Below are 27274 nucleotides of genomic sequence, written 5' to 3' on the forward strand. Positions count from 1 at the left end.
AGCACACAGAAAAACACAGCATATTATAACACTAACTGTGGCAAACTACTTATATCTTCAGTAGAAATACTAAAAGATGAACCTATCAGAAATAATGAAGACAACGACTTTTCAAGACATAGACAGTAAAGTAAGATAAAAATAGGAAAAACAAAAAGTTAAAAAGAGGGGAGATGAAATTAAAGTGTGGAGTTTTTATTCATTTTCTTTTTGCTTGTTTATTTAAGCAATCAGTGTTAAGTTGTCATCAGTTTAAAACAAAGGGTTATGACATATTATTTGTAAGCCTCATGTTAACTTCAAATCTAAAATAATACAACATAACACAAAAAATAAAGGGCAAAAAATTGAAACACACCGTCAGAGAAAATCACCTTCACTAACAGGAAGACAGGAAGAAAAGAAGGAAGATAAGACCACAGAACAACCAGGAAACAACAAAAATGGCAGAAGTAAGTCTTTACTTATCAATAATAACACTGAATGAAAATGGACAGACTTCTCCGCTCAAAAGAAATGGAGTGGTGAAATAAATTAAAAACAACAACAACAACAACAATAATCAACAATTTCTTGCCTACAAGAAACACACTGCATCCATAAGGACACACACAGACTGAAAACAAAGGAATGGGAAAAGATTTCATGCAAATGGAAATCAAAAAAGAGTAGAAGTAGCTAAACTGATATCAGATGAAATAGATTTCAAGATACAAATTATAAAAAGAGACAAGTTCACTATATAATGATAAAGCAATCAATTCAGCAAGAGGATGTAACAATTATAAATATATATCATCCAACATTGGAGCAACCAGATATATAAAGCAAATATTATTAGAGCTAAAGAGATAGATCCCAATACAGTAATAGATGGGGACTTCAACACTCCACTTTCAGTACTAGACAGACATCCAGACATAAAATCAGCAAAGAAATACCAGACTTAATCTGCACTATAGCCTAAATAAACCTAATAGATATTTACAGAACAGTTCATCTAAGGGCTGCAGAATACAGATTCTTCTCCTCAGCACATGGATCATTCTCAAGGGTGAATCATATGTCAGGCCCCAAAACAAGTCTTAAAAAGTTGAAATTATATCATGTGTCTTCTCTGACCACAATGGAATAAAACTGGAAATCAATAACAAGAGAAATTTTGGACACTACACCAACAGATGGAAATTAAACAACATGCTCCTGGATAACCAGTGAGTCAATAAACATATTAAGAAGAAAATTTTAAAATTTCTTAAAGTAAATGTACATGAAAATACAACATACCAAAATCTATGGGATACAGCAAAAGCAGTACTAAGAGGAAAGCTTATAGCAGTAAGCGCCTACATTTAAAAAGACGACAAGTAGGTGGGAAAAAAAAGACAAAATTCTTCAAATGAACAACCTAATGATGCATCTTAAAGAACTAGAAAGGCAAGAAAAAACCAAAGCCAAAATTAGTAGAAGTAAAGAAATACCAAAGAGAAGAAATAAATAAAGTTGAATTAAATAAAACAATACAAAAGATGAACAAAGTAGAACAGAGGCCTCAGAAATACCACCACATATCTACAACCATCTGATCTTTGACAAATCTGACAAAAACAAGCAATAGGGAAATGATTCCCTATATAATAAATGGGGCTGGGAAAACTGGCTAGCCATATGCAGAAAGATGAAACTGGATCCCTTCCTTACACCTTATATAAAAATTAGCTCAAGATGGATTACAGACTTACATGTAAAACCTAAAACCATAAAAACCCTAGAGGAAAACCTCAGCAATACCATTCAGGACATAGGCATGGGCAAAGTCTTCATGACTAAAACCCAAAAAGCAATGGCAACAAAAGCCAAAATAGACAAATCGCATCTAATTAAACTAAAGAGCTTCTGCACAGCAAAAGAAACTGTCATCAGTGTGAACAGGCAAACTACAGAATAGGAGAAAATTTTTGCAATCTATCCATCTGACAAAGGTCTAATATCCAGAATCTACAAAGAACTTAAACAAATTTACAAGAAAACAAACAAACAACCCCATCAAAAAATGGGTGAAGGATATGAACAGACACTTCTCAAAAGAAGACATTTATGCAGCCAACAAACTTATGAAAAAATGCTCATCATCATTGGTCATTAGAGAAATGCAAATCAAAACCACAATGAGATATCATCTCATGCCAGTTAGAATGGCGATCATTAAAAAGTCACGAAATAACAGATGCTGGAGAGGATGTAGAGAAATAGGAACCCTTTTACACTGTTGGTAGGAGTGTAAGTTACTTCAACCACTGTGGAAGACAGTGTGCCAATTCCTCAAGGATCTAGAACTAGAAATACCATTTGACCCAGCAATCCCATTACTGGGTATATACCCAAAGGATTATAAATCATTCTACTATAAAGACACATGCACACATGTTTACTGCAGCACTGTTCATAAGAGCAAAGTCTTGGAACCAACCCAAATGCCCATCAATGATAGACTGGATTAAGAAAATGTGGCACATATATACCATGGAATACTATGCAGCCATAAAAATGATGAGTTCATGTCCTTTGCAGGGACAGGGATGAAACTGGAAACCATCATTCTCAGTAAAATAACACAAGAAGAGAAAACCAAACACTGCATGTTCTCACTCATATGTGGGAGTTGAACAATGAGAACACATGGACACAGGGAGGGGAACATCACACACCAGGACCTGTCGAGGGGTGGGGGGCTGGGGGAGGGATAGCATTAGGAGAAATACCTGACGTAAATGATGAGTTGATGGGTGCAGCAAACCAACATTGCACATGTATACTGATGTTAAAAACCTGCATCTTGTGCACATCTACCACAGAACTTAAAGTATAATAAAAAAGAAAGGATAAACAAAATCAACAAACCTTTAGCCACAACAACAGAAAAAAAAAAAAAAGAGGAGACCCAAATAAATAAAAACAGAGATGAAACAGAAGGTATTACAAAAGATATGGCAGAATTTCAAAGGATCATTAGAGGATACTACGAGCGTCTGTATTCCATAAATTGGAAAACCTAAAAAAAATGTACAAATTCCTAAACACGTAAAACTTACCAAGATTGAACCATGAGGAAATCCAAAACTTGAATAGACTAATACGTAATAATATGAAAACTGTAATAAAAAGTCTCCTAGCAAAGAAAAGCACAGGGCTCGATGGATTCACTAAATAATTTTATCAAACATTTATTTTTGTTATTTTATTTTATTACTTTGTTGTTATTTTATTTTTGAGATGGGATCTCACTCTGTTGCCCAGGCTGGAGGACAGCGGTGTGATCACAGCTCACTGCAGCCTCGACTGCCAGGGCTCAAGCAATTCTCCCATCTCAGCCTCCCAAGTAGCTAGGACAACAGATGTACGCCACCACACCTATCTACTCTATTATTATTATTATTATTTGTAGAGACAAGGTCTCACCATGTTGCCCAAGCTGGTCTCAAACTCCTGGGCTCAAGAGATTCTCCCGCCTTGGCCTCCCAAAATGCTGGGATTACAGGGATGAGCCATCATGCCTTGCAACGCAAACATTGGAAGTAGAACTAATACCAATCCTAAACAAACTATTCCAAAAAATAGAGGAGGGAGCACTTTCAAACTCATTACATGGTCAAGTACTATCCTGATACCAAAACCAGACAAAGACACATCAGAGAAAGAAAACTACAGATCAATAACCCTGATGAACATTGATATAAAAACTCTTAGCAAAATACTAGCAAATCGAATTTGACAATACATTAGAAAGATTATTTATCATGACCAAGTGAGATTTATTTCAGGGATGCAAGGATGGTTCAACATAAGCAAATCAATCAATGTGATACATCGTATCAACAGAATGAAGGACAAAAATCATATAACCATTTCAATTAATACTAAAAAAGTATGTTATAAAATTCAACACCCCTTCATAATAAAAACTCTCAAAAAAACTGAGTATATAAAGAACATACCTCAACACAATAAAAGCCATATACAACAGACCCACAGCTAGTATCATACCGAGTCGGGAATAAGTGAAAACCCTTCCCCTAAGATCTGTAACACGACAAGGATGCTCACTTTCACCACTGTTATTCAATATAGCACTGGAAGTCCTATCTGGAGCAATCAGACCAGAAAGAAAGAAAGGGCATCCAACTTTATTGGAAACGAACAAGTCAAATTATCTTTCCTTGCAGATGATGCAATTTTATATTTGGAAAAAACCTAAAGACCCCACCAAAAAACAAAACTGATACTGCACACATGGAAAGTTTTTCTCCCTAGTTCACTAGCTCCCCATCAACCTTCCACCCCATTCCCACCCAATCCCACATTTCTCCATGACCAAAAATATCATATCAGTAAGGAAGATGTGGGCTTCTTGTCTGGCCAAGCCTCTTTTGCATACTTATTCTTCTTGGGTTCATTTACAGTTTCAGGGTTATGGACTGCAAGGTTTGGTGCAGGGTTCGTGTTCACTGCTGCTGGCACAATGGGAGTCAAGTCCACAACAGGGGCAAGGTTTGGATATGGCATAAACAAGCCACCAATGAGTGCTGTCTTGTGGAAACTGGGAGCCTGCTTCACTGTGTGTAGGGCACAGGCCCCCGTAGAGTCCTCCCCTGAAGGCAAAGTTCTGCATGCGCCTTCTCCCTGATTCCTCCAGGCCCAAGGAGCCAGGGCCCTCCCCCAGCTTCTTCTTGACTGGGACCACTGCAGTTTGCACTATGTTCCTGAATCGACAAACTGAGGGATCCACATTCTCTGAGTTGATGATCTCATCATCCTCACTGAATGTCACCCGGGAGTTCTTCCTCTTCCTCTTTGGTCTTGGAATGTTAGATTTCCCTCCTCAATGGTAAAGGTGGAAATCCACTTGTTGTGGGCAGTGTTGAACTATGTCAGGTTATCAAGCTTAGTTTCCTCCTCTGGAAGCCCCAGTAAGCCCCTGAGTTAATCATCCTCTTCACCCGTCTTCTCAATTCCTTTCAGAGCCAATGGCAATGGCCCAAGTATCTCGCGCAAGGTGTATGCCCCTGTGGATGCGTCAAATGAGACCCTGGAATCAGTCGGAATTTGCTGAGGCTTGTGAGGCTCCAACTGAATGTGACCAAGAAAGTGCTGTGTGTACTGTTGAGATCTATCAGGAAAACTCTCCTCAGATGCTTGTGGTAGGCAAGTGCAGTATGGATCCAAGAGCAAGACTGGTGTTCAGTGGTAAAGTCACACAAATCAAGGTTTATCCCAAATAAGTAATACTTCTTTTCACCAATAATCAGTTTCTCAATTAGTTTGTCTCGTTTAACTAAATCCAGATGTCAACCAGAAGGGGGCTTACCTGCCCAGGTTGGGCAGTGGAGCAGCGGGAGGCTGGAGCCAGAGTCTGTGACTGCCACCATCTTGCATCTTCCCCTCCCATTTGGTAGGCCCAAAGGAAAAAATTAAAAATTAATCAGTGTACAAAAATTAGTTACATTTCTATTAACCAGTAACCTTCAGAGAGCCAAATTAAGAATTCAATCCCATTTTCAATAGCCACACACACAGAAATATACCTAAGAATACATTTAACCAAGGAGGTGAAAGAATTCTACAAGGAGAAATACAAAACACTGTTGAAATTGTAAGTGACACAAACAAATGGAAAAACATCCCATGCTCATGGTGCATTAGGATCAGTTATGTTAAAATGACCATACTACCCAAAGCAATCTACAGATTCAACACAATTCCTATCCAATTACCAACATCATTTTTTAAAGAATTAGAAAAAATAATCCTAAAGTTCATATGAAACAAAAAAAAAAAAAAAGAAAAAGCCTGAATAGCTAAAGCAATCCTAAGTAAAAAGGACAAATCTGGAAGCATCACATTATATAGCTTTAACTTATATTACAAAACTATAGTAACTAAAACAGCATGGTACTAGAAGAAAAACAGACACATAATCAATGGAATAGAATAGATAACCCAGAAATAAAGCCACATACCCACAATTAACTAATGTTGACAAAAACAAACAATGGGGAAAGGACACCTTATTCAATGAATAGCGCTGGGAGAATTAGCTAGCCATATGCAAAATTAAACTCGGACCCTTATCTCTCACCATACACAGTAATTAATTCATGATATATTAAAGACTTAAATGTAATACCTGAAACTATAAAAAGCCTGGAAGAAAACCTAGGGAAAAACTCTACTGAATATTGGCCTAGACAAACAACTTACGACAAAAACCCCAAAAGCAAATGCAACAAAAACAAAAATAGACAAATAGGACTTAAACTATAAAGGTTCTGTACAACAAAATATATAATCAACATAGTAAACAGACAACTTACATAGTAGGAGAAAATATTTGCAAACTATGTCTTTGACAAAGGACTAGAATCCACAAGTAACTCAAACAACTCCCACACACACTAAAAAAAGAAAAACCAATAAAAAACCAGGCAAAGGACCTGAACAGTCATTCCTCAAAAGAAGAAATAAAAGCGGCTAACAAACACACAAAAAAATGCTCAACATCACTAATCATCAGAGAAATGCAAATTAAAACCACAATGAGATATCATCTCACATGCATCAGAATGGCTACTACGAAAAAGTCAAAAAACAGCAGATGCTGGCATGAATGTGGAGAAAAGGGAACGCTTACACACTGTTCTTGGAAATGAAAATAATTCAACTTCTATGGAAAACAGTATGGTGACATGTTAAAGAATTAAAAATAGAATTACAATTTGAGCCAATAATCCCACTGGTGGGTATTTACCCAAAGGAAAATAAATAATTACATTAAAAAGGCATCTGTATTCATATATTCATTGCAGCACTGTTGATAATAACCAAGTCATGGAACTTGGGCAAAGAAAATGTGATGTATATATATACACCATGGAACACTATACAGCCATAAAAGGAATGAAATCATGTCCTTTGCAGCAACACAGATAGGCCAATGTCCTAAATGAACTAACTCAGAAACATAAAATCAAATACTGCATGTTCTCGTTTATAAGTGGAAGATAAACAATAGGTGCACTGGACACAAAGATGAAAAGAATAGACATTGGAGACTCCAAAAATGGTGGGGAGAAGAGGGCAAATATGGGTTGAAACATTATCTATTCTGCACAATGTTCACTATTTGGGTGATGTGGGTGATAATTACACTAGAACCACAATTTCCACATTACACCATATATCCATGTAACAAACATAGAATGTACCTCCTGAGTCTAAAATTTTAAAAAGTTTTTTAAAAACTCGATAAAAAGACAACCACATTTTTAAATCAGAAAATAATTTGAATATATATTTCTCCAAAGAAGATATACAAATTACCAATAAGTACATGAAATAATGCTCAAGATCATTAGTCAGAAGGGAAATGTACATCAAAACCCCAATAAGACACCACTTCATGCACACTAGGATGGCTATAATCAGAAAAGATAGCTAATAAAAAAGTTCAGCAAGGATGCCAGGTGAAAAGGCAAAATGGTAAGCCATTATAAATAATAGTTTGGCAATTCCTCAAAATGGTCAAAATAGATTTATCGCATAAATGTTGACAGTATTATTATTTTTTAGCAGCCAAAAAGTGGCAACAACCCAAACTAAATGATCCATCCATCAACTGATGAATGGATAAAAAAAAGTGTCATTATCTATACAATGTAATACCATCCAGCCATATAAAAAAGAATAAAGTGACATGTACTACAACCTGGGCAAGCCTTTAATATATTATATTAAGTATAAGAGGCCAGTCACAAAGACCATATATCATATGATTCAATTTATATGAAATGTGCAGAATGGGCATCTACAGGAATTGGACTTGTTGCTGCTTAGGAGTGGAGGAGAAATGAGGAGGGGGAGAATGGTACTTCACTCCCAATGGTTACAAAATATCTTCTCTGTGGGGTGATGAAATGTTTTGAAATTAGATGTGATTTTTTTGAGTATAGTAAAAGCCATTGAACTGTGTACTTAAAATGTGTGAATTGTATAGTAGGTGAATTATATCTTAACAAAGCTTTTTTAAAATAAAAAGCCTTTAGAATTGAGTAATAAGTGACATTATTAGTTTTCATTATCTCAAGTAGATACATCTATTTTACAGATAAAAGAGGGTAAATAATTCATTAATTTTGTACAGTGTTTTCTGGTAAGTATAGAAAAGATCTGAACACCATAATAAACATGAAATACCTGTACTTACACAGAATGCTTCCCTCTATATTGTACACTTGTTAAGAGTACATATTCTTAACAAGTACATACAGAATTACAAAGACTGACTATATGCCAGGTCTTGATGAAATATTAATACATTTCAAATAATTCAAAGTATATTCTCTAGCTGAGAAGAAATTAAAGTAGCTGTCAATAAGCAAAGGTGAGAGAATAACGAACTAAGAGAAAATTAAGAAATACATTTCTAAATTACCACAGAGCCAATGAAGAAATCACAATAGAAATTAGAATATATTTTGAAGTGAATAATACAAATACAACATAAAATTATTAGATGCATCTAAAGCAGTGGCGTAGAGGGAAAATTACATTCTTAAATGTATAGATTAGAAATGGCTTAAAATCAATAACATAAGCCTCTACTTTAAAGGACTAGAAGAAAAAGTAGAACATAAAACTTTCAGCATAAGTTAATGTAACAGAAAAAGACTTGTACCAGACAAGTAAAAGCGACACAAACTGTTATTCAAAAAGAATAATAAAATGAACAAATTCTTAAAACATAGGGGGACAAATTAAACTCGAATTACTATTATCATGATTGAAAAGGGAGATACTTATATGCTTATAAATTCTATACTTGTGTTTAAAAGTGGGCGGGGCCAATATGGCAGACTAGAAGCAGCTTGTGTGTGTCACTGTCATGGAAAGGAAACAAAAGGGCTGATGAACACAGATGCTGCAGGCCGCTCATATGAGAAACCACGTTGGAATCCATCAGGGCAGAGGAACACAGAGAGCACAAAGGAGTAAAGTTGGGCACCGCCCATCTGAGCTCAGCGCAGAACCAGGAGGACCCCTCCAACACTGGAAAGGGTGAGTGACAGTCCCCAGGGGAATTTACACTCTCCACAGGGACCTGTGCAAGACCAGGAACAGGAGAATCACCCCGTCACCCATCCTGCACCTTCCTCCACAATACTTCTAGACTGAGGCAGAGAGCCACCTGGACATTTTGCAGGGGGAACTTCTGAGTCCAAGAGGACTGCCACAAGCCTTGGGCCCTGGAGCAGACCAGCACCAGTACCACAAACCCAATAGAGGCTGCAGTCAGCTACGGTGCCAGGGAGCAGTAACATTGCTCCACCACTGCATGCCAGCCAGGCCTCAGCAGCAACTTCCAGCCCAGCAGCCGTACTTTGGTTCAAACTTGGTCAGCCAATCCTCCCACCCCCACCACTGGTAGCCAGCTGGACAATGCTTACTAGAGTGTCCAGCCCAGAGGTCCCACTTTTGTGTGAATTCAGCTGGAGGGTGTAGCCTCCTGTTGTCACATGAAACATCCAGACCACAGAGCATGAGACCCCAACAGCCCTAGTCACTGGTAGCCAGGCAGGTGACGCCTGCTAGAGCCTCTGGCCCAGTGGCTCCACTGCTGTGTGAGGTCAGCTGGAGGGTGCGGCTTCCAGTTATCACAGGAAATATCTGGATGGCAGAGCAAGAGATCCCAGCTACCACCACCACTAGTATCCAGGTAGGCAACAACTGCTAGAGCTTCTAGCCCAGCAGCCTTGCTTCTGTGTGAGCCTGGCTGGAGGGTGCAGCCTCCTGTTGTTCTGAGAAATGCCTGAATGGCAGTGTGCATGGCCCTATAACCCCTGCCAATCATAGCCAGGCAGGCAACACCTGCTAGGCTTTCCAGCCAAGTGGCCCTACGTTTGCCTGAATGTGTTGAGGGGCACAGCCTCCTGCTGCCCTGAAAAAGCCTGAAAGGCAGGGCTGGAAACCCCACCAATCCCTAGCTACCCATAGCCAGACAGGCAATACCCAGTAAGAGTTTCCAACCCAAAAGTCCCACATCCACCTGAACTCTGTGAGTAGACACAACCCCATCTTTCTCCCAGGAAGCACACAAACAGCAGACTATGGGCAAGGACACAGCTAGCTGGCCAACTGAAGGCCCAGCCTGAGGGAGCTCCATGGACCACAACCCCCAACAAAAGAAATGCAGAGAGGAAGACAGTAATTGCAGAGGGGGCTCCTCCAAGACCCAGTAGTAGACTAGAATAGAAGGCAGTCAACCAAACCCACCTTATACCATAATCAAACCCCCAAGGGCATTAAAGAAGAAAAAAGCAAAACAATCCGTTCAAAGGACAGCAAATTCAAAGACTGAAAGAACGTAAGACCACAAAGATGATAAACAGAAGAACTCTGACAACCCAAAAAGCCAGAGTGCCTTCTTTTCTCCAAACAACCACACTAACTCTCCAGCAAGGGTTCTTAACTGAGCTGAGATGGCTGAAATGACAGAAATAGAATTCAGAATATGAATAGAAATGAAGATCGTCGAGATTCAGGAGACTGCTGAAACCCAATGCAAGGAAGCTAATAATCACAGTAATCACAGGAGCTGACAGAAAAAATAGCCAGTATACAGAATATAACCAACCTGAAACAGCAAAAAGAAAAAAAAAAAACCTACAAAAATTTCATATATCACAAGTATTAACAGCAGACCAAGCTGATGAAAGAATCTAAGGGCTTGAAGACTGGCTTTCTCAAATACAACAGTCAGACAAGAATAAAGAAAAAAGAATTGAAAAGGAATGAACAGAACCTCCTGGAAATATGGGATTATGTAAAGATGCCCAATCTACAAGTCACTGGCATCCCTGAAAGACATGAGGAGAAAGGAAGCAACCTGGAAAACATATTTCACAGTATCGTCCATGAGAACTTCCCCATTCTAGCTAGAGAGGCCGATATTCAAATTCAGGAAATGCAAAGAATTCCTGCAAGATATTTCACAAGAAGATCATCCCCAAGACATAATCATCTGACACTCCAAGGTTGAAATGAAAGAAAAAATGATAAAGGCAGCTAGAGAATAAAGGGGAGGTCACTCACTAGGGGAACCCTATCAGACTGACAGAGGACCTCTCAACATAAACCCTACAAACCAGAAGAGACTGGGGACCTGTATTCAACAGTCGTAAAGAAAAAAATTCCAACCATGAATTTCATATCCAGTCAAACTAAGCATCATAAATGAAGGAGAAATATGATCATTTTCAATTTGATCCTATTCAAATGCTGAGGGAATTTGTTAACACGAGACCTACCTTACAAGAGCTCATGAAAGAAGTATGAAATATGGAAAGGAAAGACCATTACCAGGCACTACAAAAACGCATGTAAGTACACACACCAGTGACACTTATAAAGCCACCACACAAACAAGTCTAGCATAACAACCACTTAACAACATGATAGCAGGATCAAATCCATACATATCAATAAGAAACTTGAATGTAAATGGGTTAGGTGCCCCAATTAAAACGCACAAAGTGGCTGCCAGCTGGATAAAGAAACAGGACCCAATAGTATGCTGTCTTCAAGAGACCCATCTCACATGCAATGTCATCAACAGGCTTAAAATAAAGGGATGATGAAATATCTACCAAGCAAATGGAAAACTGAAAAAGGCAGAGTATGCCATCCTAATTTCAGATAAAAGAGAATTTAAACCAACAAACATCAAAGAAGACAAAGAAGGGCATTACATATTGATAAAGGGCTTAATTCAACAAGAAGACCTAAATTAATGTGTACCCAAAACAAGAGCACCCAGATTCATAAAGCAAATACTTACAGACCTTCAAAGAGACTTAGACTCCCACAGAATAATAGTGGAGACTTCAATACCCTGCTGACAGTATTAGACAGATAACTGAGTCAGAAAATTAACGAAGAGATGCAGGACCTGAACTCAACACTTGACGAAATGGAGCTAGTAGACAGCTACATAACTTTCCACCCCAAAGCAACAGAATATACATTCTTTTCATCGCCACATGGTACACACTGTAAGATCAGCCATGCAATAAGACATAAGACAATCTTCAACAAATTCAAAAACAGCAAAACCATACCACCACACTCTTGGACCACAGTACAATAAAAATAGAAATCAAAGCCAAGAGAATCGCTCAAAACCATACAATTACATGGAAATTAAACAACCTGCTCCAGAATAACTCAGGTTAATTATCAAATTAAGGCAGTGTGATGGTTAATGTTAAGTGTCAACTTGACTAGACTGAAGGATGCAGAGTATTGTGTCTGGGTGTATCTGGCTGTTACCAGAAGAGATTAACATTTGAGTAGGTGGACTGGGAGAAGGAGACCCATCCTCAAGAAGACTCACCAACAATGTGGGTGAGCACCATCCAATCATCTACCAGTGCGGCTAGGAAAACCAGGCAGATGAAGGTAGAAGAAGCTGATTTGCTGAGTCTTCCAGCCTTCATCTTTCTCCCATGCTGCATGCTTCCTGTCCTCAAACATCAGACTCGAAGTTCTTTGGCTTTTGGACTCTTGGATATACACCAGTGGTTTGTCATGGGGTCTTGGGCCTTTGGCCACAGACTGAAGGCTGCACTGTTGGCTTCCCTACTTTTGAGATTTTGGGACTCAGAATGAGCCACTACTGGCTTCCTTGCTCCTCAACTTGCAGACAGTCTATCATGAGACACCTTGTAATCATGTGAGTCAACTCTCCTTCATAAACTCTCTTTCATGTATACATATATCCTATTAGTTCTGTCCCTCTAGAGAACCCTGACTAATACAGTCAGGAATTAAGAAGTTCTTTGAAACTAATGAGAACGAAGACATAGCATATCAGAATCTCTGGGACAAAGCTGAGGCAGTGTTAAGAGGGAAATTTATAGCATTAAATACCTGCATCAAAAAGTTAGAAAGATCTCAAACCACGTAACATCACAACTAGAAGAGCTAGAGAAACAAGAGCAAACAAACTCTAAAGCTAGCAGAAAACAAAGAATAACCGAAATCAGAGCTGAACTGATGGAAACAGAGACATAAAAAAACATACAAAAGATAAACAAATCTAGGAATTGGTTTCTTGAAAAAATTAATAAGATAGTCAGCTAGACAAACAAGAAAAGAGAGCATATCCAAATAAACACTATAATAAATGACAAAGGGAATATTACTACTATTCCATAGAAATACCAATAACCATCAGAGATTACTATGAACACCTCTATGCACACAGACTAGAAAATCTAGAAGAAATGGATAAATTCCTGGACATATACATCCTTCCAAGACTAAACATGGAAGAAATTGAATCTGTGAACAGACCAATAACAAGCTTTGAAACTGAATCAGCAATCGATAGCCGACCAACCAATAAAAGCCAAGAATCAGGTAGATTCACAGCCAAATTCTACCAGATGTTCAAAGAAGAGCTGGTACCATTCTTACTAAAACTATTCCCCAAAATTGAGGAGGAGCTACTCCTCCTCAACTCATTCAATGAGGCCAGCACCATCCTGATACCAAAACCTGGAAGAGACACAACAAAAAAAAAAGAAAACTTCCACCCAATATCCTTGATGAACATAGATGCAAAAATCCTCAACCAAATACTAGCAAACTGAATCCAGTAGCAAATCAAAAAGCTTAGCCACCACAATCAAGTAGACTTTAATCCCTGGGATGCAAGGTTAGTTCAACATATGCAAATCAATAAATGTGACTCATCACATAAACAGAACTAAAAACAAAAACCATATGATTATATCAATGAATACAGAAAAGGCTTTTGATAAAATTCAACAATCCTTCATGTTAAAACCCTAAAGAAACTTGGCATTGAAGGAATATAGTTCAAAACAGTAAGAGCCATCAATGACAAACCCACAGCTAACATCACACTGAACAGGCAAAAGCTGCAAGCATTCCACTTGAAAATCGGCATAAGACAAGGATGCCCTCTCTCACCACTCCTATTCAACATAGTATTTTAAGTCCTGGCCAGGGCAATCAGACAAGAGAGAGAAGCAAAAGGCATCCAAATAAGAAAAGAAGTAGTAAAACTATCCCTGTGTGTATATGACATGATTTTGTATTTTAAAAACCCCATGGTCTTGGCCCCAAAGCTCCTTGAACTGATAAGCAACTTGAGTAAAGCTTTGGGATACAAAATCAATGTACAAAAATCAGTAGCATTCCTATTCACTAACAGCACCCAAGCTAAGAGCCAAATCAGGAATGCAATACCATTCACAACTGCCACAAAAAGTATAAAATACCTACAAGTATGGCTAAGCAGGGAGGTGAAATATCTCTAGAATGACAATTACAAAACTGCTCAAAAAAATCAGAGATGACACCAAAAAATGGAAGAAAATTCCATGCTCATGGATAGGAAGAATAAATATCATTAAAATGACCATACTGCTCAATGCAATTTACAGATTCAATGCTATTCCTATCAAACTACCAATGAAAATTTTCAAATAATTAGAAAAAACTATTCTAAAATTCATATGGAACAAAAAAAGAACCTGAAAAGCCAAGGCAATCCTAGGCAAAAAAAAAAGAAAAAAAAGCTGGAGGAATCACATTGCCTGACCTCAAACCATACTACAAGGCTAGAGTAACCAAAATACCATGGTACTCATACAAAAGTAGACACATAGGCCAATAGAACAGAAGAGAGAGCCAAGAAATAAAGCCACTCACCTACAGCCATCTGATCTTTGACAAAGCTGACAACAACAAGCAATGGGGAAAGGACTCCCTACTCAATAAATAGTGCTGGAATAACTGGCTAGCTGAAGATTGAAACTGGACCACTTCCTTAAAACATATGCAAAAATCAACATAAGATTGATTAAAGACCTAAATGTAAACCCTGTAACTGTAAAAACTCTGGAAGATAACCTAGGCAATACCATTTTTGACATAGGAATAGGCAAAGATCTCATGACAGAAAATGTCCAAAGCAATTGCAACAAAAGCAAAAATGACAAATGGCGCCTAATTAAATGAAAGAGGTTTTGCACAGCAAAAGAAACTATTAACAAAGTAAACAGACAACTTACAGAATGGAAGAAACATATCTGTAAACGATACATATGACAAAGATCTAACATCTAGAATCTACAGGGAACTTAAACACATAAGCAAAAAATGAACAATCCCATTAAAAAGTGGGCAAAGGACATGAACAGACACTTTTGAAAAGAAGGCATACAATGCACCAAAAAGCATATGAAAAAATGTACAATATCACTAATCATTAGAGAAATTCAAATACAAACAACAATAAGATAGCATCACACATCAGTCAGAATGGCTATCGTTAAAAAGTCAAAAAATAACAGATGTTGGTGAGACTGCAGACAAAAGGAATGCCTATACACTGCTGGCTGGAGTGTAAATTAGTTCAACCATTGTGAAAGACAGTATGGTGACTTCTCAAAAACCTAAAACAGAACTACCATTCAACCCAGCAATCCCATGCCTGGGTATATATTCAAATGAATATAAACTGTTCTACAACAAAGATACATGCATGTGTATATTCACTGCAGCACCATTCACAATAGCAAAGACATGTAATCAATCTAACTGCCCATCAACAGTAGACTGGATAAAGAGAATGTGGTACATACATACCATGGAATACTACGCAATCCTAAAAAAGAAAGAGATCACATCCTTTGCAGGAACATGGATGGAGCTGGAGGCCATTATCCTTAGCAAAGTAATGCAGGAACATAAAACCAAATACCACATGTTCTCACCTATAAGTGAGAGCTAAATAAAGAGAATACATGAACAAAAAGAGGGCAACAACAGACAATGGGGCCTCCTCGAGGGAGGAGGATAAGAGGAGAGAGAAGTTCAAGAAAAAAAAAAGTCAAGTACTACGCTTGGTACCCCAGTGAGGAAATATTCTGTATAGCAAACCTCTGAGTCATGAATTTACCTATATAACAAATCTGTACATGTACCACTGAACCTAAAATAAAATTTCTTAAAATATTTAAGAAAAAATGCATAGGAAGATATCATGAAAATCTTCATATCATTCAGTTTGATAATATAAATGAAACAGGAAAATTCCTAATAAAACTGACCAAGTAATAGAAAACCCAAATAACTGATATTAAAGAAATTATATCCATTACTGAAAACTATCCCACAAAAATAGGCTTGTTCAAAACATTTAAGAAGGAAATAATTTTGCATAGAAGCTGCCTGAAAAAGGCTGGGAATATTTCCCAACCACTATTTCCTTTTTATGAGGTCAGCCAAAATCTGAGGAGAATATTACAAGAAAGGAAACTTGCAGACCAATCACTGTCATTAATTTAGATGCAAAAATCTTAGGTATAATATTAGCAAATTGAAACCAGTGATTATATTTTTAAGAAAACCATGAATAAGAGATTTGTTTCAAGAATGTGACCATGGTTTAAGACTTGAAAATCAAGTGATTTGCTATATTAAAATAAGGAGTGGTAGCAGAATAATCATCTCAGTAGATACAATGGAATAAAACCTTATATTTGTAATTTTTAAAAATAAAAAATATTAGAAAATAAGGAATTTCTGTAATCTGACAAAGAATACCCACAAGAAATCTACAAAAAGTATCATATTTAATTTCAAATTATAAAAACCTTTCATCTTTCATGTTGAATAAGACAAGAAACTGTCTATCACCACTTCTATTTGATACTATTTTAGAAACCCTAAATAACAAAACAAGAAAAATAAATAAAATGCATAAAGATTAAAGTGGGAGATTTAAAACTATCATTATTTACAGATTATATTATTATACATTAGAACACTCAAAAACTACAATCTATTAATATCAATGCGTGAATGTAGGTAGGTCAGTGGATTACAGATGACTAAAAGCAGGTAAATTATATTCATCATACCAAGAAAAAACAGAATTGTAAAAGGTATAATAGCATAAAAATATCAAACATCTAGAGCTAAATCTATAGAAAGACATGCTAGACCTATGAAATGAAAACTATGTCAAATTATTGGTGGAAATTAAAGATCTAAATTAATAGACACAATTTCATGAACTGGAAGACTGAATATTGTTAAGATGTCAGTTCTCCTCCAATCAAAGCATAGATTCAATGTAGTCTCAATCAAAAACTCAGTGGGTTCTGGCAAGCTGATGATTTTGACATACAGATGGAAATTAAAAGAACCAAGAATAGGAAAAGCAATTTTGAAGCAAGAACAAACGTGAAGGAGTTATGTCATTAGATATAAAGAGTTACTACAAACCTATAGTAAATTGAAAAACTACATTATTAGTACAAAAATAGATAATTAAACCAATAAAATAGAAGAAAATCAAGAATGACTCACATATATACAATTGCAATGGAAGAGAACAGAATCCAGGACTATCTCCGCATAAACACAGCGGAGGGGTAAAGAATAGCTTTTAAAGAAAGATGCTAGGTCATAATCATTTGACAAGCAATGCTTCTGTTGCCTGTACAAGGGTGGAGTGACAAAACGTGAGTTTTATGAGGCTTTAGATACACAGCCATTTTCACAATGATTGTATTTGTTGACTTATGAAGTTGCTTAGGACCAGAGGGTATAAAGCTACACCAAACACATCTGAAAAGCAAAATGCATCTTCCTGCTATCTCACGATACTTAAGAGATAAGGATCTATCAGGGCACAGGCCCTGAAAACACAAGAACCAAAACGTTGATTGCTGAGACTATAAAGGCTTTTAACCTGGAGATACTTGAAAATCTGGGACTAGCTAGGATAAAAAATTGGGTCTTGGCAACAGATGCAAAGGCTATCTCTAAGAATCGAGAAACAGGCAAGACTTTTTTGGTGTGAGAATCACACCAGGCTATAGAGGTAAAATTGAAAACAGGAAAGGCCTCAAATATATGAAAGGTTTTTGTCAAGATATTTTCTAAATTCTCAAGCTGTGCCAGGTTGGGGGTAAAATAAGCTAATCCAAAATCTCTGAAAAGCAAACAAAACATCTCTTACAATTATATGTTACTTAAAATGTATCACAAAGAATGACTTTAATAACATTTGAGAGTTGAAAGCCTTGAAAAGAACCGATGAGTTGACATTTGACTGCTTGCAAGCACCATTTACCCTGAGGACACTTGACTTCTGAGATTAGTAGAAGCTGGTCTCTGTCATAGAGCTGATACTGCTCAACATAACTGGTAATTATGCAGAGACACAGTGACAAAACCAGAGAGCAGGGGACTGAAATACATGACCAATTTCTGAAACTTCCTAGTGTGAAAATGTAATAAACTAAGCCTAAAACCTTTGTTAACAGGACAGAAATGGCCTCAGTCTCTCGGTACTGAAAAGATAAGGACCTAAAAGGTTAATAATTTGGAAAAACTGGAGGCTAATGCCCTAAAAAGACTTAACTGTGATTTATCAGGACTTTGATTAAGGTCAAATTGAGAATCACCAAATCATCAATATACACTGACCCTGGTTCAGTCCCTTTTGGATCAAGGTTATTAGCCTTTGACGCTACCTGCCTAGAAGAGGTATAGACATATAATATCTAGAATTTAACTCTAAAATAATAAGTGGTACACAAAGAGTCAGGACAATGTTATTGGTAAGTGAGAGTAAAAAAGACAAAGCAGATCACAAACAGAATCCAGGTATTAAGAGTTAGAAGATCTTTAAAGTAATTAGGATTAATTTGGTCAAGAAAATAGGTGAAAAGTTGGGCAAAATAGAGAAAGTTTAAGACTTGGAAAAATTGGTATCTATAAAAATGAATCAAGGAGACATTTTAGATCTAAAAAATATAATTATTAAAATCAATTACCTAATATAATAAATGAATTTAACAGCAGATCAGAATCAGTAGAAGACAAGATTAGTGAACTATAAGGTTCATAGTAAATATCCACAATAAAATAGCAAATAGAATGATAAAAATTGGAAAGAGCGCAAGAAACTTGCAGGACACAATCAAACGATCTAATAGAGGTAATTGAACACCCGAAGAGTAAGAAATAATAGTTAATAAGACATATTTGAAGAGATAATGAGCTAGAATGTCCCAAGCAATATAAGTCATGAATTTACAGATTCAAGATGCTCTGAATTGCTCCTCATCCTTTTGGCTATGATTGAGTGAAGAAAGTCTGAGTACACCAAGCAGGTTAATACATAAAACTACATCTCAGAAGAGCAAAGAAAGAAGCCAGAGATAAATGACATTACCTTCAAAAGAACAAGAATAAGACTAACAACACACTTCTCAACAAAATGATGGAAGATATCAGATAATAGAATAGTGCCTTTAAAGTGTAGGAAGAAAAACAGCTGCCAAAGTAGACATCTATACCCAGGGAGAAAAAATTACTCACAAATTTAGTAGATACTAAAGACAATTAAAGATGACAAAAATTATCCACAGTAGGCCTGCACTAAAAAAAAAAAAAAAAAAAAAAAAAAAAAATACAGAGAATTTTCCATGCAAATGAGAAATTATCTAAAATGGAAACAGAATCCAAAAACAAAGATCACCAAAAAAGATAAGTAAGTAAATATAAAATAATATTACTATACAATAGTAGCAATATACTGTGGAGTCAAAAATAGATGTAGAATTAAAATGTGTAATATCAATAACTTTAAAGAGGAAGGAATATAAATGGAATGCAAATGCTCTAATCTAGAATTATCAAAAAATTGGTAAAAAAAATTGTATTAGACTATAATAAAGAATACATGTTTTGTACAGGGTAACTATTAAAAAAATAAGCACTCTATAAGTTAGAAATAAAAAAAGAACAAAACTATCTTATTGTCAAATAAAGTATGAAGGAGATAAAAAAAGAAATATAAACAGATTTATCAGATAGTATACAAATCCAACAATATCAAGTAATTAAATGATTACAGTAAGTAAATCAAAAGAAAAGTTAAATAATATAAAACCTTCTTATATAAGAAACATACCTTAAATATAGGGATACAAGAAGGGTGAAAGTAAAAGGACGAAAAAGAAATACCAAGCAACATTATTCCAAAGAAAGTTGGTGTGACTATAAAATTGTCAGATAAACCACATTTGCAGACAAGAAGCTTTCCCAGAAACAAAGACATTTACAATAACAAATAGGTCAACAGACAAGAACAAAACACTTTCTAAACCTATATGTATCCAATAACACACTTTCAGAATGTGCAAAGCATAACCACGACACATTATCAATTCACACCCTGTGGAACACTAGTATTGGGAAAACAAAACAAAACAAAATAAAAATACAGTGTGCTAGCAAGGATGGGGAGAAATTAGAATTCTTAAACACTGATACTGGCACACTTTGAAATCTTTTTGGCATTATCTTCTGCAGATGAAGAGACAACTCCCTTATGCCTCAACTATTCCACTTTTAGGTATATTTCCAGCCAGAATACACACAGTAGTACCCCTAATCATCAGTTCCACTTCCCATGGTTTCAATAATCTGTGGTCAACAGTAGCCTAAAAAATATTAAATGGAAAATTCCAGAAATAAGTAATTCATAAGTTTCATTCTGAGTAGCATGATAAAATCTTATGCTGTCCTGCTCCGTCTGCCCAGGACATGAATCATCCTTTTGTCCAGCATACCCACGCCGTATACACTACTTGCCTATTTGTCACTAAGCAGCCATCTCAGCTATCAGATTGACTGTGGTAGTATTATAAAGCTTGCATTCAAGTTACCCTTAGTTTACTTAGCAATGGCCCCAAAGCACAATAGTGATGCTGGCCATTTGGATATGCCAAAGCAAATCAGTAAAGTGCTTCCTTTAAGTGAAAAGGTGAAAGTTCTTGACTTGGAAAGAAAAAAACATGGTTTCTGAGAGTGCTATAATCTATGGTAAGAACTAATCTTCTATTCCTGGGATTGTAAAGAAGAAAAAAAAGTTCATACTAGTTTTGCTGTCACACTTCAAACTATAAAAAGTTATGGCATGGTGCATGGTAAGTGCTTAGTTAAGTTGAGAAAGGCATTAAATTTGCAGGCAGAAGCCATGGATGGAAACATGTTCTAACTGACAGAATGCAAGTTCAGTACATCTGTGGTTTCAGGCATCCACTAAGGGGTCTTGGAACATATCCCCTAAAGATAAGGAGGACTACTGTGTACATGTTCACCAAAGAATATACACAATATATTGTCTATGGTAGCACTATTAGTATTAGCCCAAAATTAAAAGTAGAATTGATTATGGTATTATTTTGGAAGAATACAAATGCAAAAGCAGGGGTTGGCAAACTTTTCTTGTGAAGGGCCAGGTAGGAAATACGTTCAGATTTGTATACTATGGGATCTCTGTCACAATTCTCACCTCTGCTGTTGTAGTTTGAGATCAGTCATGGGTAACATGTATACAAATGAGTATATCCATACTGCAATAAAATTTTGTTTTTTAAAAAATAGCTAGAATTTGCCTGTGTGGCATAGTTTGTTGACTGCAGCTATACAGCAATGAAAATGAAGCACATGCATGTCACAAACATTAATCAAAAGAAATCAGATACAAAAGAATAAATATCACTTTGGGAGGCTGAGGCAGGTGGATCACAAGGTCAGAAGATCGAGACCATCCTGGCTAACATGGTGAAACCCCTTATCTATTAAAAATACAAAATAATTAGTCGGACGTGGTGGCCCGCCCCTGTAGTCCCAGCTACTGGGGAGGCTAAGGCAGGAGAATGGCATGAACCCCGGAGGCAGAGCTTGCAGTGAGCCAAGACTGTGCCACTGTACTCCAGCCTGGGTGACAGAGCGAGACTCCATCTCAAAAAAAAAAAAAAAAGAATAAATATGACTCAATTTATAAAACATTCAAAAACAAACAAATTTATATTTTGTGAGATATTAGAAGAGCAGAGAGTGTAGTGACTGAAAAGAGGCACCAGAGACAATTCTAGGGTGCTAGTAATGTCAAGTCTATGACCTGGATGCTGTTCACACATGGGTCCACTTTGTGAAAACTCATTGTGCAATATAATTTAGAATAAAAGCAGACTATTCTGAAATAAAAAATTTTAAAGGACCTAGAATAGTAGTACCAAATAATACATGGAAAGCATCTGTGACAAAATGAGGTGACAAGATATCTTCATGAACCCCAACGTATGAGGAGGAACAAACCACCAGTAGTAATAAGATAAAGTTGGTATCTGCATCTGTGGAGGAGAGCTCAGAGGAAAACAGGAGGCATCTAATAAACCTGATAACTTCAAAATAACAAAAAAATGCTCACTCAAAAATATCAGTGGTTTAATTTAAGAACAGCAACAGAAATTGGGAGAGGTTTTTGATTTTTGTGTGATGAAATGTACAAGATGAGTCTGGGACTCATCTATGTGGCCTACTAGGGCCACATAAAAAGATTTGCAAGACATAAAGACATGAAGAGTTTCCCATTGGCCAAAGTTGAGCTTATTTGGGAACCAATAGTAACTGAAATACAACAAAACACATCAATATGTTCAAATCCATGAGTTCACAATTATCTAAAAAAAAGGAAAACTAACTGGTCACCTTTGGAGAATGTTAAAGAACAAAATATTATGAACACTAGAAAATGAAGGGATGAATGAACAATGACATTAAGTAACAAAACAGATGAAGCGGAATGAGGAGTAGAAGGACAGATAAGAAAATTCAATACTTTTGTAACGCCTATGTAATGCATCTTTGCATTGGATTTGCCAGAGAGAGAGGGAAGGAAAGTAGAGATGGAGAGAATATGAATCAGATATTAAGTAACTGCCAATGAAAGACACAATATGACTTCTGAAATAAAAACTGAACTTGATTAAGCCTCTAGATCTCAATTTAAAGGTACCAATTTAGAGAAAATACTGCAGATAACAATGGAACATGCTTATGCCACAGAAGTCGTATCATCAAAATCTTATGGAAAAATTATACGGGAATACAAATACAAAAGCAGGGGTTGGCAAACATTGTTAAGTCAGAAGAGGAATAAATAAAATTAACATGTTCATTTATGTTAAACTTTAGTAAGAATACTTGTTTTAATCTTTGAAGTTACCATCAAAGGAACAGGAAAGAAAATCCCCAGTTAATAACAGTAGAAAAATTAAATAACAATATAACTCAACCCAAAAGAGGATAAAAGGAAATAAAGAATATAGAACAGGTAGTGCAAATAGAAAACAATAGGTTTATACCCAAATATATCAGTAGGAATGTAAGAAAGGAACAGACTGACTACTACAATTAAAACACCATGATTTCCACACTGTATAAAAAAGTCAATATACGCTATGAAAAATCCCTGTTAAATAAACAAAAATGTTAAAAGTGTAAGTATGAAAGAAGATATTTCTTGCAAAACACTAACCACATAAAGCTATTTTAGTGCTCACTTTGGCAGTACATATACTAACATTGGAAGGATACATAGAAGATTAGCATAGCCCCTGCACAAGGATGACACACAAATTTACGAAGCATTCTATATTTTTCAGACAAGCAAGTGCTGAGGGAATTCATTACCACCAGACCTGCCTTACAAGAGCTCCTGCAGGAAGCCCTAAATATGGAAAGGAAACACAATTACCAGCTATTACAAAAACACACTGAATGAAGTTCACAGACCAGTGACTCTATAAAGGAACCACATAGTCTGCGAGATAAGCAGCTAACACCATGATGTCAGGATCAAATACACACATATAAACACTAAACTTAAATCTAAATGGGCTAAGTGCCCCGATTAAAAGACAGATAGGCAAGCTGGATAAAGAACCAAGACTTGTTGGTATGCTGTCTTCAAGAGACCCAAGAGACATGCAGTGACACACATAGGCTTAAAATAAAGGGATGGAGAAAAATCTACAAAGCAAATGGAAAACAGAAATCGGGATTGCGATTCTAGTTTCTAACAAAACAGACTTTAAACCAACAAAGATAAAGAAAGACAAAGAAGGGCATTACATAATGGTAAAGGGGACAATTCAACAAGAAGATCTACCTATCCTAAATACATATGCACCCAACACAGGAGCACGCAGATTTATAAAGCAAGTTCTTAGAGGCCTTCAAAGAGACTTAGACTCCCACAAAATAACAGTAAGAGACTTTGACACCCCACTGACAATATGAGACAGATCGAGACAGAAAATCAACAAAGATATTCAGGACCTGAACTCAGTTCTGGATCAAATGGACCTGACAGATATCTACAGAACTCTACTCCCAAAAACAACAGAATATACATTCTTCTCATCGCCACCTAGCACATATTCTAAAATTCATCACATAATCAGAAGTAAAACACTCATCAGGAAATGCAAAAGAACTGAAATCTTAACAATCTCTCAGACCACAACACAACCCATTCAAACAGATACAATTACATAGAAATTGAACAAACTGCTCCTGAATGACTTTTGGCTAAATGATGAAATTAAAGCAGAAACCAAGAAGTTCTTTGAAACTAATGAGAACAAAGATACAACATATCAGAATCACTGGGACACAGCTAAGGCAGTGTTAATAGGTAAATTTATAGAACTAGATGCCCACATCAAAAAGTTAGAAAGATCTCAAATTTTAAAACAACATAACATCACAACTAAAAGAAGTAGAGAACCAAGAGCAAGCAATTCCCAAAGCAGGCAGAAGACAAGAAATAACCAAAATCAGAGCTGAACTGAAAGTGATTGACACGAAAAACCATTCAAAAGATCAACAAATCCAGGAGCTGTTTTTCTGAAAAATTAACAAAATAAATAGAGTGCTAGCTAGACTAATAAAGAAGAAAAGAGACATCAAATAAACACAATCCTAGAAACAACAAGGGGATATTACCACTGACCCCACAGAAATGAAAACAACCATCAGACAATATTATGAACACCTCTATGCACATAAACTTGAAAATAAAGAAGAAATAGATAAATTCTTAGATACAAACACCCTTCTAAGACTGAACAGGAAGAAACTGAATCCCTGAACAGACCAATGACATGTTCTGAAATTGAAGAAGTAATAAATAGCCTACTAACAACAACAAAAAACCTCAGGCCAGATGGATTCACAGTTGAATTCTACCAGATGTACAAAGAAGAGATGGTACTATTCTTACTGAAACTATTCCACAAATTTGAGGATGAGGAACTACTCTCTAACTCATTTTATGAGACCACAGCCTCATCCTGATGTCAAAACCTGGAAGACATAAAACTTCAGGCCAATGCTTGATGAACATCAAGGCAAAAATCCTCAACAAAATACTAGAAAACTGAATCCAGCAGCTCATCAAAAAGCTTAGCCGCCACATTCAAGTAGACTTTATCCAGAAGGTGCAAGGTTGGTTCAACATTACACAAATCAAAAAATGTGATTCATCACATAAACAGAAAGACAAAAACCACATGATTATCTCAATAGATACAGAAAAGGCTTTTGATAAAATTCAACATTTCTTCCTGTTAAAACTCTCAATAAACTAAGCATTAGAGGAACATAACTCAAAATAATAAAAGCCATATACAACAAACTGACAGTCAACATCATACTGAATGGGGAAAAGCTAGAAGCATTCCCCTTGAAAACAGCACAAGACAAGATGACCTCTCTCATCACTCTTATTCAACATAGGATTGGAAATCCTGGACGGAGCAATCAGACGAGAGAAAGACATGAAAATAGAAGAGAGGAAGTCAAATCATCCCTGTTTGCAGATTATATGATCTTATATTGAGAAAACCCCATAATCTCAGCCCAAAGCTTCTTAAGCTGAAAAATAACTTGAGCAAAATCTCAGGGGATACAAAATCCATGTTCAAAAATCACTAGCATTCCTATACACCAACAATAGTCAAGCTGAGGGCCAAGTCAGGAATATAATACCCTTCACAACTGCCACAAAAAGAATAAAATATCTAGGGATACAGCTAACCAGGGAGGTGAAAGATCTCTACAAGGAGAACTACAAAACACTGCTCAGAGAAATAGGAAAAGACACAAACAAATGGAAAAACATCCCATGCTCATGGATAGGAAAAATCAACATATCCTTAAAATGGCCATACTGTCCAAAGCAATTTATATATTCAATGCTATTCCTATTAAACTACTATTGAGATTCTTCACAGAAATAGAAAAAATTTTAAAATTCATATTAAACCAAAAAGGAGCCTGAAGAGCCAAGGCAAACCTAAGCAAAAAGAACAAAGTCAGAGGTAACATGCTACACAACTTCAAACTATACTACAGGGCTACACTAACCAAAATAGCATGGTAGTGGTACAAAAACAGACACATAGACCAATGGAACAGAACAGAGAACCCAGAAATAAGGCCACACACCTACAACTAACTGATTTTTGACACATCTGAGAAAAACAAGCAATGGGGAAGGGATTCACTATTCAATAAATGGTGCTGCGATGACTGGCAAGCCAAATGCAGAAGGCTGAAAGTGGGGGAAAACACCATATACAAAAAGTAACTCAAGAAGAATTAAAGACTTAAATATAAAACCCAAAAATATAAAAACCCTGGAAGATAACCTAGGCAATACCATTCACTACATAGGTACGGGCCTATGTATATATAATGCATTATATATACACATATAATATATATGTATATATAATGTATATATAATATAATATATATATTATTAATGTATATATGTATATATAATGTATATATAATGTATTAAATTAATTATAGTAATTAATTATATAATTAATTTAAGTACAGTTAAAATATAAAAGTATATATTTTAACTTTGCTAAAAAATAAGAATAGTTAAACAATAACCCATAATTGCTTGCTTAGCTTGCTTTTCTGTAGTGCTTACTATCCCAGAGTCATGTAACTGGAGGTTTTAAGATTTATAACTTTTCCAACTGCTCCTGTAGGTAACATCACTATTGTGAAACCTAAAGAACTTTTAAGTATTTTTCAGATTTAGAATTTTGGCAGACCAAGAGATGCCACCTGGACTTGTGATCCACACCAAGGAACTGACTCAATTAGTCCTGCAACCCCTCCCTGGAACTAACTCACTAACTCAGCTGCAGGAAGATTGTCTCAACACTCCTGTGACTTCATCCCTAGCTAATAAATTGCCTCAGTTTTCCAGCCCCCTGACCACCAAAGCATC

General features: G+C 36.2%; 1 protein-coding gene and 2 pseudogenes across 19 annotated transcripts in view; 1 reads left to right on the forward strand and 2 right to left on the reverse strand.

The window, feature by feature from the left end:
- The window catches only part of SPATA6 (spermatogenesis associated 6), a 210816-nt gene that overhangs the window by 59309 nt on the left and 124233 nt on the right, over window positions 1–27274 (reverse strand). Inside the window, exon 12 of one of the 19 annotated variants that reach the window (XM_047422900.1) lies at window positions 5366–5439. The exons of the other annotated variants lie outside the window; for them this stretch is intronic. Within the exon in view, the coding sequence (XP_047278856.1) occupies window positions 5366–5439 (74 nt within the window). The remainder of the gene's footprint in view (window positions 1–5365; window positions 5440–27274) is intronic. 19 annotated transcript variants of the gene reach the window in all.
- On the reverse strand, window positions 4279–5461 carry PPP1R8P1 (protein phosphatase 1 regulatory subunit 8 pseudogene 1; annotated as a pseudogene).
- Window positions 23512–23618, forward strand: RNU6-723P (RNA, U6 small nuclear 723, pseudogene; annotated as a pseudogene).

Source organism: Homo sapiens, chromosome 1 (genome assembly GCF_000001405.40).
Source record: "Homo sapiens chromosome 1, GRCh38.p14 Primary Assembly".
Taxonomy (NCBI): domain Eukaryota; kingdom Metazoa; phylum Chordata; class Mammalia; order Primates; family Hominidae; genus Homo; species Homo sapiens.